The sequence below is a fragment of the Homo sapiens genome, chromosome 5, assembly GCF_000001405.40.
Source record: "Homo sapiens chromosome 5, GRCh38.p14 Primary Assembly".
Taxonomy (NCBI): domain Eukaryota; kingdom Metazoa; phylum Chordata; class Mammalia; order Primates; family Hominidae; genus Homo; species Homo sapiens.
Window position 1 is genome coordinate 150857746 of NC_000005.10, and position 14674 is coordinate 150872419.

General features: G+C 38.0%; 1 protein-coding gene and 1 long non-coding RNA gene across 3 annotated transcripts in view; one reads left to right on the top strand and one right to left on the bottom strand.

Annotated features, from left to right (window-relative positions):
- The window catches only part of IRGM (immunity related GTPase M), a 55882-nt gene that overhangs the window by 11225 nt on the left and 29983 nt on the right, over positions 1 to 14674 (top strand). The window lies entirely within an intron of this gene.
- Positions 3268 to 9094, bottom strand: LOC124901113 (uncharacterized). The gene is made up of 2 exons (XR_007059000.1): positions 7866 to 9094; positions 3268 to 3603 (listed from the first exon to the last, which is right to left on the bottom strand). It is a non-coding gene; the product is annotated as an uncharacterized LOC124901113 (long non-coding RNA).

The following is a 14674-nucleotide window of genomic DNA, read 5'->3' on the forward strand; positions in this document are numbered from 1 at the left end:
CATGTCCTTCACCCACTTTTTGATGGGGTTGTTTGTTTTTTTCTTGTAAATTTGTTTGAGTTGTAGATTCTGGATCTTAGCCCTTTGTCAGATGAGTAGGTTGCGAAAATTTTCTCCCATTTTGTAGGTTGCCTGTTCACTCTGATGGTAGTTTCTTTTGCTGTGCAGAAGCTCTTTAGTTTAATTAGATCCCATTTGTCAATTTTGGCTTTTGTTGCCATTGCTTTTGGTGTTTTAAACATGAAGTCCTTGCCCATGCCTATGTCCTGAATGGTATTGCCTAGGTTTTCTTCTAGGGTTTTTATGGTTTTAGGTCTAATGTTTAAGTCTTTAGTCCATCTTGAATTAATTTTTGTATAAGGTGTAAGGAAGGGATCCAGTTTCAGCTTTCTACATATGGCTAGCCAGTTTTCCCAGCACCATTTATTAAATAGGGAATCCTTTCCCCATTGCTTGTTTTTGTCAGGTTTGTCAAAGATCAGATAGTTGTAGATATGCGGCATTATTTCTGAGGGCTCTGTTCTGTTCCATTGGTCTATATCTCTGTTTTGGTACCAGTACCATGCTGTTTTGGTTACTGTAGCCTTGTAGTATAGTTTGAAGTCAGGTAGTGCGATGCCTCCAGCTTTGTTCTTTTGGCTTAGGATTGACTTGGTGATGTGGGCTCTTTTTTGGTTCCATATGAACTTTAAAGTAGTTTTTTCCAATTCTGCGAAGAAAGTCATTGGTAGCTTGATGGGGATGGCATTGAATCTATCAATTACCTTGGGCAGTATGGCCATTTTCACGATATTGATTCTTCCTACCCATAAGCATGGAATGTTCTTCCATTTGTTTGTATCCTCTTTTATTTCCTTGAGCAGTGGTTTGTAGTTCTCCTTGAAGAGGTCCTTCACATCCCTTGTAAGTTGGATTCCTAGGTATTTTATTCTCTTTGAAGCAATTGTGAATGGGAGTTCACTCATGATTTGGCTCTCTGTTTGTCTGTTATTGGTGTATAAGAATGCTTGTAATTTTTGTACATTGATTTTGTATCCTGAGACTTTGCTGAAGTTGCTTATCAGCTTGAGGAGATTTTGGGCTGAGATGATGGGGTTTTCTAGATATACAATCATGCCATCTGCAAACAGGGATAATTTGACTTCCTCTTTTCCTAATTGGATACCCTTTATTTCCTTCTCCTGCCTGACTGCCCTGGCCAGAACTTCCAACACTATGTTGAATAGGAGTGGTGAGAGAGGGCATCCCTGTCTTGTGCCCATTTTCAATGGGAATGCTTCCAGTTTTTGCCCATTCAGTATGATATTGGTTGTGGATTTGTCATAGGTAGCTGTTATTATTTTGAGATACGTCCCATCAATACCTAATTTATTGAGAGTTTTTAGCATGAAGCGTTGTTGAATTTTGTCAAGGGCCTTTTCTGCATCTATTGAGATAATGATGTGGTTTTTGTCTTTGGTTCTGTTTATATGCTGGGTTACATTTATTGATTTGTGTATGTTGAACCAGCCTTGCATCCCAGGGATGAAGCCCACTTGATCATGGTGGATAAGCTTTTTGATGTGCTGCTGGATTCGGTGTGCCAGTATTTTATTGAGGATTTTTGCATCGATGTTCATCAAGGATATTGGTCTAAAATTCTCTTTTTTGGCTGTGTCTCTGCCAGGCTTTGGTATCAGGATGATGCTGGCCTCATAAAATGAGTTAGGGAGGATTCCCTCTTTTTCTATTGGTTGGAATAGTTTCAGAAGGAATGGTACCAGCTCCTCTTTGTACCTCTGGTAGAATTTGGCTGTGAATCCATCTGGTCCTGGACTTTTTTTGGTTGGTAAGCTATTGATTATTGCCTCAATTTCAGAGCCTGTTATTGGTCTATTCAGAGATTCAACTTCTTCCTGGTTTAGTCTTGGGAGGATGTATGTGTCCAGGAATTTATCCATTTCTTCTAGATTTTCTAGTTTATTTGCATAGAGGTGTTTATAGTATTCTCTGATGGTAGTTTGTATTTCTGTGGGATCGGTGGTGATATCCCCTTTATCATTTTTTATTGCATCTATTTGATTCTTCTCTCTTTTCTTCTTTATTAGTCTTGCTAGCGGTCTATCAATTTTGTTGATCTTTTCAAAAAAATGGATCCATCCATTTTCAACTACTGACTTGATTGTACAGGATGACAACTAAGAAATGGGTGAGGTCATCTTAACAGTCACCTAGGGGAGGATAGCTTGACCCTGGCACCTCTCACTGGGAGAAGCTTTATAGATTTCATTGCCCAATATGGCTAAATAATGCACTACTCCCTAAAATAGATTTCATTGCTCAATATAGCTAAATAATGCATGACTACCAAATATTTTGGAATACTAACAGGAGAAAATTGTGATGCAATGTCACAATTTAAACGTAAATTTATACAATGGCAATTTAACGTCTCCTATAACATTTTTGTACCTTATAAAGTTCATACAAGAAACACAAAGTGCCTTTATGATACAGTGTAAAACACCTGTTTATGCATTTCATTACTGGATCCTCCATTACAAGGAAAATTAATGCTCAAATTGTTTTATGAATAAGTGGTTTATCAAAAGCCTCATATAAAAATAGTCTGTTAAATTGGATAATCTTTGAGTTTCAGTTCTCTTTCTAAACCTGTGGGTGTTTTCTTGGCACTGATGCAACAGTGTTCAAAACTGGACATTCTGAACTTTTGGGGGAATCCTAAATCCTAATAACTCCAATATACTTGATTGCAATGCCCATGTGTACGCTGTTATTTTGTAATAGTTTACTAAGAAACTTTACTTCCTGAGCAACCACAGTCCCTGTCCTGGAGCTCATGCCAAAGAGTTAATAATTATGCAGGCACCACAGGAACAAGGTCCAAGATGGACAGACTGGCCAGCCTTCCACCCAGATCCCTGTGCTGCTCCCCAGGCTGTGGCCACTGTTTGCCACCACTATTGCTTCTGCTGCTGCCTTGGGACCTCCCAACTTAGTGCCTCTGCATCACACAGACACAGCTACTAGGCTGATTGCTCGGGGTCTGTGCTACCTGCCTTGCTCACTGGACTTTTTATGTTAACTTAGTTCTCCCTCTCTGTATCTCCTGTGAACTAATTGTGAGATCTAGGAAACTGATTTTTTTTTCAGAGTATATTACATGATGGTATTGTATAGTTTAAATTTTGTCTTATCATGTGCACTCTAATGTCTGTCAAGATTTTAAGATTGCTCAGTGGATGGTATCAGACACCCATAACTGAATGGCTTCAATCAGTAACAAGTATTTATTGCTGTTCATGAGTCTGTGATTTAGTTGGCCTCACCTAGGTAGTTCTCTATGTGGTGGGAGCTATAACCTCAGTCACCTGAAGGCTCCAGTGGTTTGAAATATCCAAGATGGCTCACTGGAGGTTCAACTGATTTGGAATGTGTACGATGGTGGCAGTTGGTCCTTGCTATAGGCTGGGATTTTACATGGGGCTGTCATTTAGAGCCCTTTTGTACTCCCTCATGTAGCCTCTCCAAGTGGCTCTCTCAGAGTTCCTTCAAAGTATCGTAGTTTCAGGACAATCATACCTCTTCTTTGGGGGCTGGATCCTAGGAGTGCAAAATTAGAAGCTATCAGGTCTTTTTAAGGCTTAGGACAGGAAGTAGCACAAAATTACTTCACAGCATTCTACATTCAAACAAGTCACAGGGCAGGGTCAGATTCAAGAGGAGGGGACTAAATGAGGGGAACACCAGAGGGAGTTGTTCATTAGTATCATCAATGTAAGAGATTACCACCAGCTTTCACTTTTTTTCTCTTTCCAAATGGGCATGTTTGTTCTTGTTATCCTGTCTCTGTTCATTGGATGTTGGGAGTGGAGGGAGATAACTTGCGATTTTTAGTCGCAGGTCTCTAGATTAAGTAATAGTCCATCTGAAACTTATGTACAAATAATGATGACATTCAGGACTTTGAGTCTTAGGCCAAGATGATGGAAATTTTGGATGCATCCTTTAAGGAGGGGGTGAGGATGTTTTGCATGCTAAAGGAAAGAAATGAATATTTGCAAATATCCAGAAAAGTGGACTGTGCAGATTGAATTATTTGAAAAAAATATTTCATATTATTTCCTACCAGAACCCTCAAATATGGATTATTAACTATTGCTGCATAAAACTACCACAAACTAGAGACTTAATAAAATACATGTTTATTATCTTACAGATTATGTGGATGAGAAGCCCAGGTACAATTGGGCTGAGTCTTTTGATTCAATGTCTCTCATGGGCTATGATGAAGTTCCCAGCCAGGGGTGTGGTCTCATCTGAATGTTCAAGTGGAAAAGGATCTGCTTCCAAGCTCACTCACATTATTGGCAGAATTCATTTTTTCAAGAGTTTTTTCCTTGTTGGTTGTGAGTTGAAGCCACCCTCAGTTCCTTGCCATGTGGCACTTATTTTCCATAGTGTAGCTCTCAACATAACAGAATATGTCATCAAAATTAGCAAGGAAGAGGAAGTCCTAGTAAGACACAGGATATAATCTTACGTAATGTAGTCACAGAGTGACACCCCATCACCTTTGCTATAGTCTGTTGGTTAGAAGCAGGCCACAGTTCCTGTCCACATTCAAGGAGATTGTACAAGGGGTGAATATCAAAGGAGGGAATAATTGGGAACTGTTTTAGAGTCTGTCTGCCACACCAGCCTCCTCATTGAGAGACAATTAAACTGTTTACATCATACATTTCAGACCTGACCATATGACTTATTTCAGCCAATGGATTGTGGGGGAAGTGATATGTGCTGCTTTTAAGAAGATTTAAGAATTGCCATCTGATCTGCCACCTTCTCTTTTATTCTCTCCCCAAGCAAGTTCTTAGATATTCATCAGCCTAAATTTTTGAGCTGACCTACTCTAGGTATGTAAAAGAGGTAATAAATTAAGTCTATTGACTGTCACTGAGATTATAGGAAGGTTTTTAACTGCAGTATAATTTATCTAAAGTTGACTGGCCCTGCTAAACTAAGAGATACAAGAAGCATCCTGGGGCTAGCAACATTGGAGAGCAATGACAGCCCTAGACCAGGAGGGACCTGGGAAGTTAGATCTTGCAAAGAGGGATGTAAGGAATGAACACACCAGCCTCACTTTCCGTCTGGCACTACTGCTGCCCATTGGCAGGGAGGAGAAGAAGGCTAAAAAAAAGACCTTAGAAAATGCTAACCTTTCAGGGGCAGAAGAAGAAAGAAAGAAGAATTTATGGGGGAGTTGAGAAGAAATAACAGGAAAAGAAAAACAAAACAGTAGAGACATGGAATGGAATGATAATAAAATGAAGAAGTGGCCACACTGAGAGATTCTTCTTAGGGTTGCACTAATTTAGGGTTTGTGTCTGTCAAATTTAGAAAACAGAATTTCATATGTGCTTTAGAAAGAGAGACATCTGTGAAACTGGCGCAGAACAGAGCACAGGAATATAATGGTATGACTAGTGAATATGAAGTAAAGCTGCAGAAAAAAGTTTTAGACCACTGTTTAAAGAAGCTTGCTTCTGAAGAAGAGTAAAAAGGAAATATCTAAAAGAAGGGAGCTCAAAAAGGTGCTTGTTTTAATGAATAACAGTGTTGAAATTTTTGCAAGTTCAGTGGAAATGTTCTATTCGAGGCTGATGATATTGGAGAAAAAATAGATTTGTATATAAAATAAGTCCATAACAATATGGGATAAAATATAATGATTACCTCTGGATAATTTTGGGACAGTAAATCCCAATTTCAAGGCTCCTGATAGATGTAAATATATGAGGTTATAATTTTTTAACATCTGTATAACTAAGAATTTTAAATGAACAATTATAATTCTTCATAATACATAAATGCATCAGTTTGGAATTTACAAAGACATTCTCATTCATATTTAATATTCCCAACAGGGTATGGGGTTAGTGTTCTGGTCCCCATTTTGCAATGCAAGAAATAAGATCCAGAAACTTCATAACTGCAGAAGCTACACCTGAACCGATAATTTCATTCCCAAGTATAGTGCTATATAGCCTAACCTTTTATCATTTTCTAAATGTTCTTGACATGTAATCAGTAAGCAGGCACTGCTTTGGGGAAGCTAGTTTTGAAAGGGTCTTCCTGTTTAAGAGAAATAGGATTTGAGGGAGAGATCTGGAGGCACTTACCAAGCAGCCTGTCAAAGGCCTCATGATCCTCAGGTTGTAACTTCACCATTATCTTGAGCCATAGGTAAAGCCATAGGTAACAGCCAGGACCTGGTTTTTCTTAGCCCCTGGCTGTACTTCCTGCACAAATACTACTATGCAATTTCTCTTGGAGCCCTAAATTTCAGGCACAGAGCTGGAATCTATCCAGGGTCCCAAGAAAACAAAAGGGCTACAGGACAAAATCTTACCTGGGAGGAACTAGTTGTTGATCACTCTAGCCCTGCCAAACCAGTCCCTTCTGCTCTGGCCAGCCAGACGCTTGACCTTCTTTTCCATCTTTTACCTTTGTTTATGCATTTTTTCACTATTTGCTTTGCTATTACTATATTTCTCATGATTCATTTCCTTATTAAAATTAATTTTTCCCATCGTAGAAAAAGGAATCCTTACTTCCCAAGTTTTTCTTCTATGTAGATTTCCTTCTCCCCAGCTCTTGTTCCTCTTGTTCCCAAAGCCCTGGATTTCACATTGCTCCTCTCTTCCACATTAAACATTACTTCCTAACAGCTGTATGTCTTCGTCATTACTAGTCAACCCTTTCAAATCTCTTTACAATTCAATCCTCTCACCTGCAGGTCCTGTGCTTTCTTCCTTCACTATCATGTCTGAGGCACACCCTGGAATGGTAGGCTGTGGGCTCTGCTTTACAGAATGGCAAATGGCAGACAATGAGCCATGATGTCCTGTCAGCCTATTTTTCTCCTATCACAAGGTTGGGTCTGCCCACAGATTTTCCCCCGTCTGTCCAAACTCCTATTCTGTACATTGGCTTTGACCAATCCTGGCAAGAATGTAAGCCACTATTGTAAATGCAATTTCAATGGGTGTTTGTTGGAGGCAGCACGTTAGTGCTGTGCAATGGCCATAAAGACCATGGGACAGGGAAACAGAGTCAGGGAGATAAAAATGTAGCTGGATGACTGATTATTGCTCTTGACGATGGGCGTGTCCTGATGCTTCATGAAAACCCCAGGACCAGAGTTATAAGGAGAAGGTGAAATAAAACTTCACAGACCATTTCCCATCTCTCCCATCTCTCTGTTTGTCTCTTTCTCTTCTTGCTGGTGAGAGGATGTGTGATGCATACCATCTACCACATACCCATGTAGAGTAACATTAGAACATAAATTAGAAAGGGAATAAATGGAGTTAAATTTTTCTAAATATTTACTTCTGACCAGTAAGCGTTAACATTATTGACATATATTAGAATACAAACACATATACAAGCACAAAAGGATTAGTGGAGGAGGAATGCATAACTCACAAGCTAAGAGAAAGGAAAAGGAAAAATAGAATATTAAAGAATATTCAGCCAATTCAAAAGTATATTAGAAAAAGAACTAAAACAGGCAGGAGAAATGGACAATAATTTGGAAGATGTTACATATAAACTCAAATATATCAAAATTTCATTAAATGTTAATAGACTAAATATTATGTAAAAGGCAAAGATTAGTAGAGTGAGTTTTTAAAAACTATATGCTTATAGCAGATATAGATTTTAAATATTAGGTTACAGAAATCTTGAAACAGAAAGGATGAAAATACATATACATTATTCAAACACTATTCAAAAGAAAGATGTTATTGCCCTACTTACACTGGCTAAAATAGACTTCATTGGGGAAAACTTACTAGCAATGAAGAGGAAAAATTCACCAGGACTGTATAATATCAGCAACCAACAAATATTAACAGGCTTGTTCTTTATGGGAAAACACGCCTCTCCACATTTCTAAACTAAGGGTGTATAAGAAGGAAAATATTCTTCATTATCAGAAAAGATGACTTTTTTTTTTGAGACGGAGTCTTACTCTGTTGCCCAGGCTGGAGTGCAGTGGCACAATCTTGGCTCACTGCAGACTCTGCCTCCTGGGTTCCAGCGATTCTCTTGCCTCAGCCTCCTGGGTAGCTGGGACCACAGGCACGCACCACCATGCCCGGCTAATTTTTGTATTTTTGGTAGAGATGGGGTTTCAGCATGTTGGCCAGGCTGGTCTTAAACTCCTGACCTCAAGTGATCCACCCGCCTTGGCCTCCCAAAGTGCTAGGATTAGAGGCGTTTGCCACTGCGCTCAGCCAAGGATGTCTTTTTAACTTCAAGAAATTACATTGTTAACTCCCTGTACAGTCTGCTCCCAGGTTCTATTGTTCCGTGATTCTGAGTTTCCACGGTTTTGTGAGCCATTGATTCCAATCTAAGGCAGCCCAGATTCTGATAAGTCATTTCCAGTATCCTGGCTAGGAATTCCTGTGGCAGGTATTTTGGCTGTACTGACATGAGCCATGGCAAAGGAAAGAATGATGCCTGCCAACGGCAAGTAGCTCACCTGAGGGTGTGGGAGTGACCACATTTAGGGAGAAGAGAAAGAAGAAAAACTGCTTCCTCCATGGCACTGGCATACTCTAATTCCAGATGGAATTAAAACAGCCTTTGGGACATTTTTTTGAGAAGGCTGGAAAGTTCACCCACTGCTTGACTTGGAAACCAATGCAGTGACAGATGCCATTATGGACAGATGAGATGATCTGAAATTTTGAAGATGGTACAACCCATTGTCTTTTTGGTAATGTTACATAAAGAAACTTCTGACAAAAATCAATAAAAAGGAGAGTATAAGTTTGAAGATGTGAAAATTCTGCAGGAGGAAAAAAAGTGAAAATATCCCATGTACAGATATTAAAACAAGATATTGTAACCCCACCAGCTCTTATTCCCAAATAATTCCATTGCTTTATAACTGTAACTGATAATATGAATAACCTTTAGCACATTCATTTACCGTTTTCCAAGAGATGAGTATCTTAGGGGGAACACTGAAATAGTCTTCAAAAATGTGAAGTAGATTGAACCTTTCATATTCTGATTACCCACTAAAATAATTTTCATTTCTGATGACAACATTTTTACTTTTTGATCTATTTGCAAGTGATTTTTTTTGCTTATTTGTTTTATTGACATAACACATAGTGAAGTGCAGAAACTTCAGTGTACTCATTTCAGTCACTAATATTTCACTTTGAAATAACACATCTTTTTCTCTCTTTTTTAAATTTCAGTAGGTTTTTGGGGAACAGGTGGTGTTTGGTTACATGGATAAATTCCTTAGTGGTGATTTCTGAAATTTTGTGCACTCATCACCCGCACAGTGTACACTGTACCCAATGTGTAGTCATCTTCCCCCTGAGTCACCAAGTCCATTTTATCATCTTTATGCCTTTGTGTCCTCATAGCTTCACTGCCACTTATAAGTGAGAACATACGATATTTGGTTTTCCATTCCTGAGTTACTTCACTTAGAATAATGGTCTCCAACTCCATCCAGGTTGTGGCAAATACTGTTATTTCATTCCTTTTTATGGCTGAGTAGTATTCCATGGTATATATATACACCACCCATTGATTGATGGGCATTTGGGCTGGTTCTATATTTTTGAGATTGTGAATTTTGCTGCTATAAACATGCATCTGCAAGTGTCTTTTTTGTATAATGACTCCTTTTCCACTGGGGACATATTCAGTAGTAGGTTTATTGGATCAAATGGTAGATCTACTTTTAGTTCTTTAAGAAATATCCATACTGTTTTCCATAGTGGTTGTACTAGTTTACATTCTTACCAGCAGTGTGAAAGTGTTCTGTTTTCACAACATCCATGCCAACATCTATTTTTTTTTTAATTTTTAAATTATAGTCATCCTTGCAGGAGTAAGATAGTATTGCATTGTGGTTTTGATTTGCATTTCCCGATAATTAGTGATGTTGAGCATTTTTTAATGTTTCTTGGCCATTTGTATATCTTCTTTTGAGAATTGTCTGTTCACGTCCTTAGCCCACGTATTGATGGGATTATTTGTTTTTTTTTTTTCTTGCTGATTTCTTTTAGTTCCTTGTAGATTCTGGACATTAGTCCTCTGTTGAATGCATAGTTTGCAAAAGATTTTCTTCCACTCTGTGGGTTGTCTGTATACTCTGCTGATTATTTCTTTTGCTGTGCAGAAAGTTTTTAGTTTAATTATTTATCTTGGCTTTTGTTGCATTTGCTTTTGGGTTCTTGGTCATGAAGTCTTTGCCTAAGCCAATGTTTAGAAAGGTTTTTCTAATATCTTCTAGAATTTTTATGTTTTCAGGTCTTAGACTTAAGTCTTTGATCCATCTTGAGTTGATTTTTATATAAGATGAGAGATAAGTATCCAGTTTCATTCTTCTACATGTGACTTGCCAATTATCCCAGCATCATTTGTTGAATACAGTGTCATTTCCCTATTTTATGTTTTTGTTTGCTTTGTTGAAGATCAGTTTGCTGTAAGTATTTGGGTTTATTTCTGGGTTCTCTATTCTATTTCATTGGTCTATGTGCCTATTTTTATACCAGTGCCATGCTGTTTTAATGACTGTAGCCTTATAGTATAATTAGAAGTCAGGTAATGTGATGCCTCCAAATTTGTTCTTTTTGCTTAGTATTGCTTTGGCTGTGCAGGCTCTTGTTTTGTTCCATGTAAATTTTAGGATTGTTTTTTCTAGTTCTGTGAAGAATGATGATGGTATTTTGATGGGAATTGCATTTAATTTGCAGATTGCTTTTGGCAGTAAGGTCATTTTCACAATATTGATTCCAGCCATTCATGAGTATGCAAAGTGTTTCCATTTGTTTGTGTCACCTATGATTTCTTTCACCAGTGTTTTGAAGTTTTTCTTGTAGAGGTATTTCACCTCCTTGGTTAGGTATATTCCTAAGTGGGTTTTGTTGTTGTTTTTGTTTTGCAGCTATTATAAAAGCAGTTACATTCTTGATTTGATTATCAGCTTGGTCACTGTTGGTGTGTAGCTGTGCTACTGATTTGTGTACATTAATTTTACATTAAATTCTGAAACTTCACTGAATTCATTTATCAGATCTAGGAGCTTTTTGGATAAGTCTTTATGGTTCTCTGGGTATACAATTCACCAGTAAACAGTGACAGTTTGACTTTCTCTTTACCGATTTGGATGCCCTTTGTTCCCTTCTCTTTTCTGATTGCTCTGGCCAGGACTTCCAGTACTATGTTTAATAGAAGTGGTGATAGTGGGCATTCTTGTCTTGTTCCAGTTCTCAGGGGGAATTCTTTCAACTTTTCCCCATTCAATATAATGTTGGCTGTGGGTTTCTCATAGATGGCTTTTATTACCTTAAGGTATGTCCTTTCTATGCTGATTTTGTTAAGGGTTTTATTCATAAAGGGATGCTGGATTTTGTCAAATGTTTTTTCTCTGTTGAGATGATCGTGTGAATTTGTTTTTAATTCTGTTTATGTGGTGTATCACATTTATTGACTTGCATATATTAAACTATCCCTGTGTCCCTGGTATGAAACCCATTTGATCATGGTGGATTATCTTTTTGATATGCTGTTGGATTCAGTTAGCTAGTATTTTGTTGAGGATTTTTGTATCTATGTTCATCGGGGATATTGATCTGTAGTTTTCCTTTTTGATATTGTCCTTTCCTGGCTTTGGTATTAGGGTGATACTAACTTCATAGAATGATTTAGAGAGGATTCTCTCTTTCCCTATCTTTTGGAATAGTTTCAATAGGACTGGCACCAATTCTTCTTTGAATATCTGAAAGAATTTAACTGTGAATCCATCTGGTCCTGGACTTTTTTGTTGGCAATTTTAAAATTACCATTTCAATCTTGCTGCTTGTTATGGGTTTGTTCAGGGTTTCTATTTCTTCCTGGTTTAATCTGTGAGGGTTGTATGTTAATAACTTCTCTTTTTATTTTTTACTCAGCTCATGAGGCACCCACTTATCAAGCTTTTTCACCTTTCCAATTTGCTTCAAATGCCAAACGACCACAGAAGGGTCAACATTGAGTTCTTTGGCAACTTTTCGTATAGTTGTAAGAGGATCAGCTTTGATTATTGCTCTCAATTTGTCTCATGTTGCTCTCAATATGGTGAAGATATTTGCAAATTCCCCCTGTGTATTATACTTCTTTAAGAGGGATTTAAAAAATAACAGGAATTACTAAAGATTCCAAAAGACCTCCAAAGCCTGTGGACATGGAGGATCCAAGCCTATATCTCCAAGGAGGAAAGAAAAATAATGCTAATATCTGGGGTACAGATGAGAATAAAGGGAAATTTGCAGTAAGATGTATACTTACATTGGTGCAAAAGTAATTGCAGTTTCAGACCGTGAATTTTAAATTATTATAACTAGGCTCAAACACATCTTTATTAATCAAAATAGGAACCATTACAGACAACACATAGGTGCACATCCCTAACCTCGGCAAAATAAACTTTCTAAATTAACTGAGACCTGTCTCAGATTTTGGGGGTTTACATTTTGGTAACTACAAAGGGATTCTGGGTGGAGATGCCCTTGATTTTTGACAAAGCTCATATCAGTGCTTGGTACCAGCTTGAGCTATCTTTATGGGTCAAACCAGTAAGACAATTTGCTGAGGCCTGGAAGCACACCCTCCAGAGAATCCTTAATCTCCCCAAATTTAATCAAGATCTAAATTTTATTTTGCTATACAACTCCTTTTTTTTTTTTTTTTTTGGAGTTTTACTTGCTTTCAGCACAAGGAAGGCAAGCTCTTCCTGCTTTCAAGATGATGGACAGCAGTTGACTCCTTTATGGAATTTCAGCTTGCTTCCAATAGGGAATATGAGATTTTTTTCCTGGTCCTAGGATGGTAGAGAGAAGTCTTCAGCCTGAGACCCATTCCTAGGTAGGTAACTAAGTTGGGGTTTGTCTTGGCTAAAGTTAAAATTAACAGCCATCTGGTCTTAATTTCTCCTTACCATTAGAGCACTCAGTAATCATATAAGTTACGCGATCATTTGTTTTGCTTAACTGTTTTTTTGTTGTTGTTATTGTTGTTTGTTTCTGTTTTTGTTGTTTTGATTTGTTTCCCATTGGGTTTGACCAACTCTATCCGTCTTGATCGAATCTGAAGGAAAGCTCCAAATTATGAGGAATGAGGTCTCTGAAATGGCTAAATTCCCACCAAAAAAAAAAAGTGGTATGGTGGGAGGAGAAAAACGGCCAGAAAAAGGAAAACAAAAAAGGAAAGATTTCTGATTTTGACTACTTAAGGGGCTTTATTTACATACAAGGCAACCCTTTTGCTAGCCAGGTGAAACTGAAAGCAATGGCTGTCACCCCATGCTACAGTTTGATAGCTAAGGTTCTGCCTTTTTTCCACCATGACAGCCTGGATTTTGGTTCCTAAATCAAGTTCTTTCTGGTTTGATACTTGGTACTTCTGAAATAGTGGCAATCTGCCCTAGCTGAAATATGGTAATGAGATTTAAAAAGATTTTGTTTTAAGAGCTCAATGGTTAAAGTCAGCTTAATTAAAAGCTAACCTCCAAGATGTGTCTGTGTCTATGTGTGTTTGTATTTAAAAGGCCTTTATATTTGTTTTTTGTTTCCTTTCCTAGGACGTTGTCCTTTTTATTGAGCAAAAGTTTTTGTCTTCTCAGCTGATCAAACTCTGTTTTGTTCATTTACTTCTGCTGTCTCTCCTTTCTCTTGCACCCTCTGCTGCATGAGGGACCTAAAATAGTTTATAACAGCCTGGGTGGGGTTCCTTAAAGAAAACAGAGAAGGCCCCAGACTCCCTTTGGGGGATAAACCTGTTTTTCCTTATGGAAGCCCAAGAGTGTGAACAGATAAGTTCATCTCAGCTTTAAACTGCTTGCTTTTGTATTATGTTACCTGATTTACTGACTAAAATAGTTATTGAAACAGGTTACTCTTGGGTTTTTAAAGAAGAGTGTAGTGTAGACACTTAGAAATGTCTGTTTCAAACAAATTGTTTAAAGTGTACTGTAAAAACATCACATTGTCTAACCTCATAATAATTCTCCCGGTTTGGAAACCCAGGATTAAGTGTGGGCTCTGCCCGGAGCTCATTGATCCAGTTAAAAGATAGGTAGTCCCTACCTAAATACGATTGGTTTTCTCATACAATCCCATGATAGATTTTTGTAATTTTATGTTTGATTTGACATTCATTTTTAATCTCCCTCTAGCACACCAGACTTTTCTCTGTACCTTATGATGTAAAATTTGCTATTTGATTTTCACCTGAGTTATTTCCTTTAATATGCATATTTAATGCTATTTAGCTTACAACTACCTAGGGTTGTGAAACAGCTTATCAAGAATTTGAAAGTCTGACAGGAATAAAAAGGTTTTTGTGAATCTATAATATAGTTATTTCTATCAGCATTCCTGATGAAGCTGGGGACACTGAATTTGTAAATTCCGATGAGCCTTTTTTTGCCAGAAGAAACAACTTCCCCATCCCCAGTGGGGGCAACATCCCTCCCTGACCCACGCTGCCATCAGCTTTTCCACCTTTGTCTGAGAAGATAAAGCCTGTGCTGCCTGAGGCAACAGTGATGGCCTCCCCTGAGGCAGTTGTGAGGCAAGACAATGTT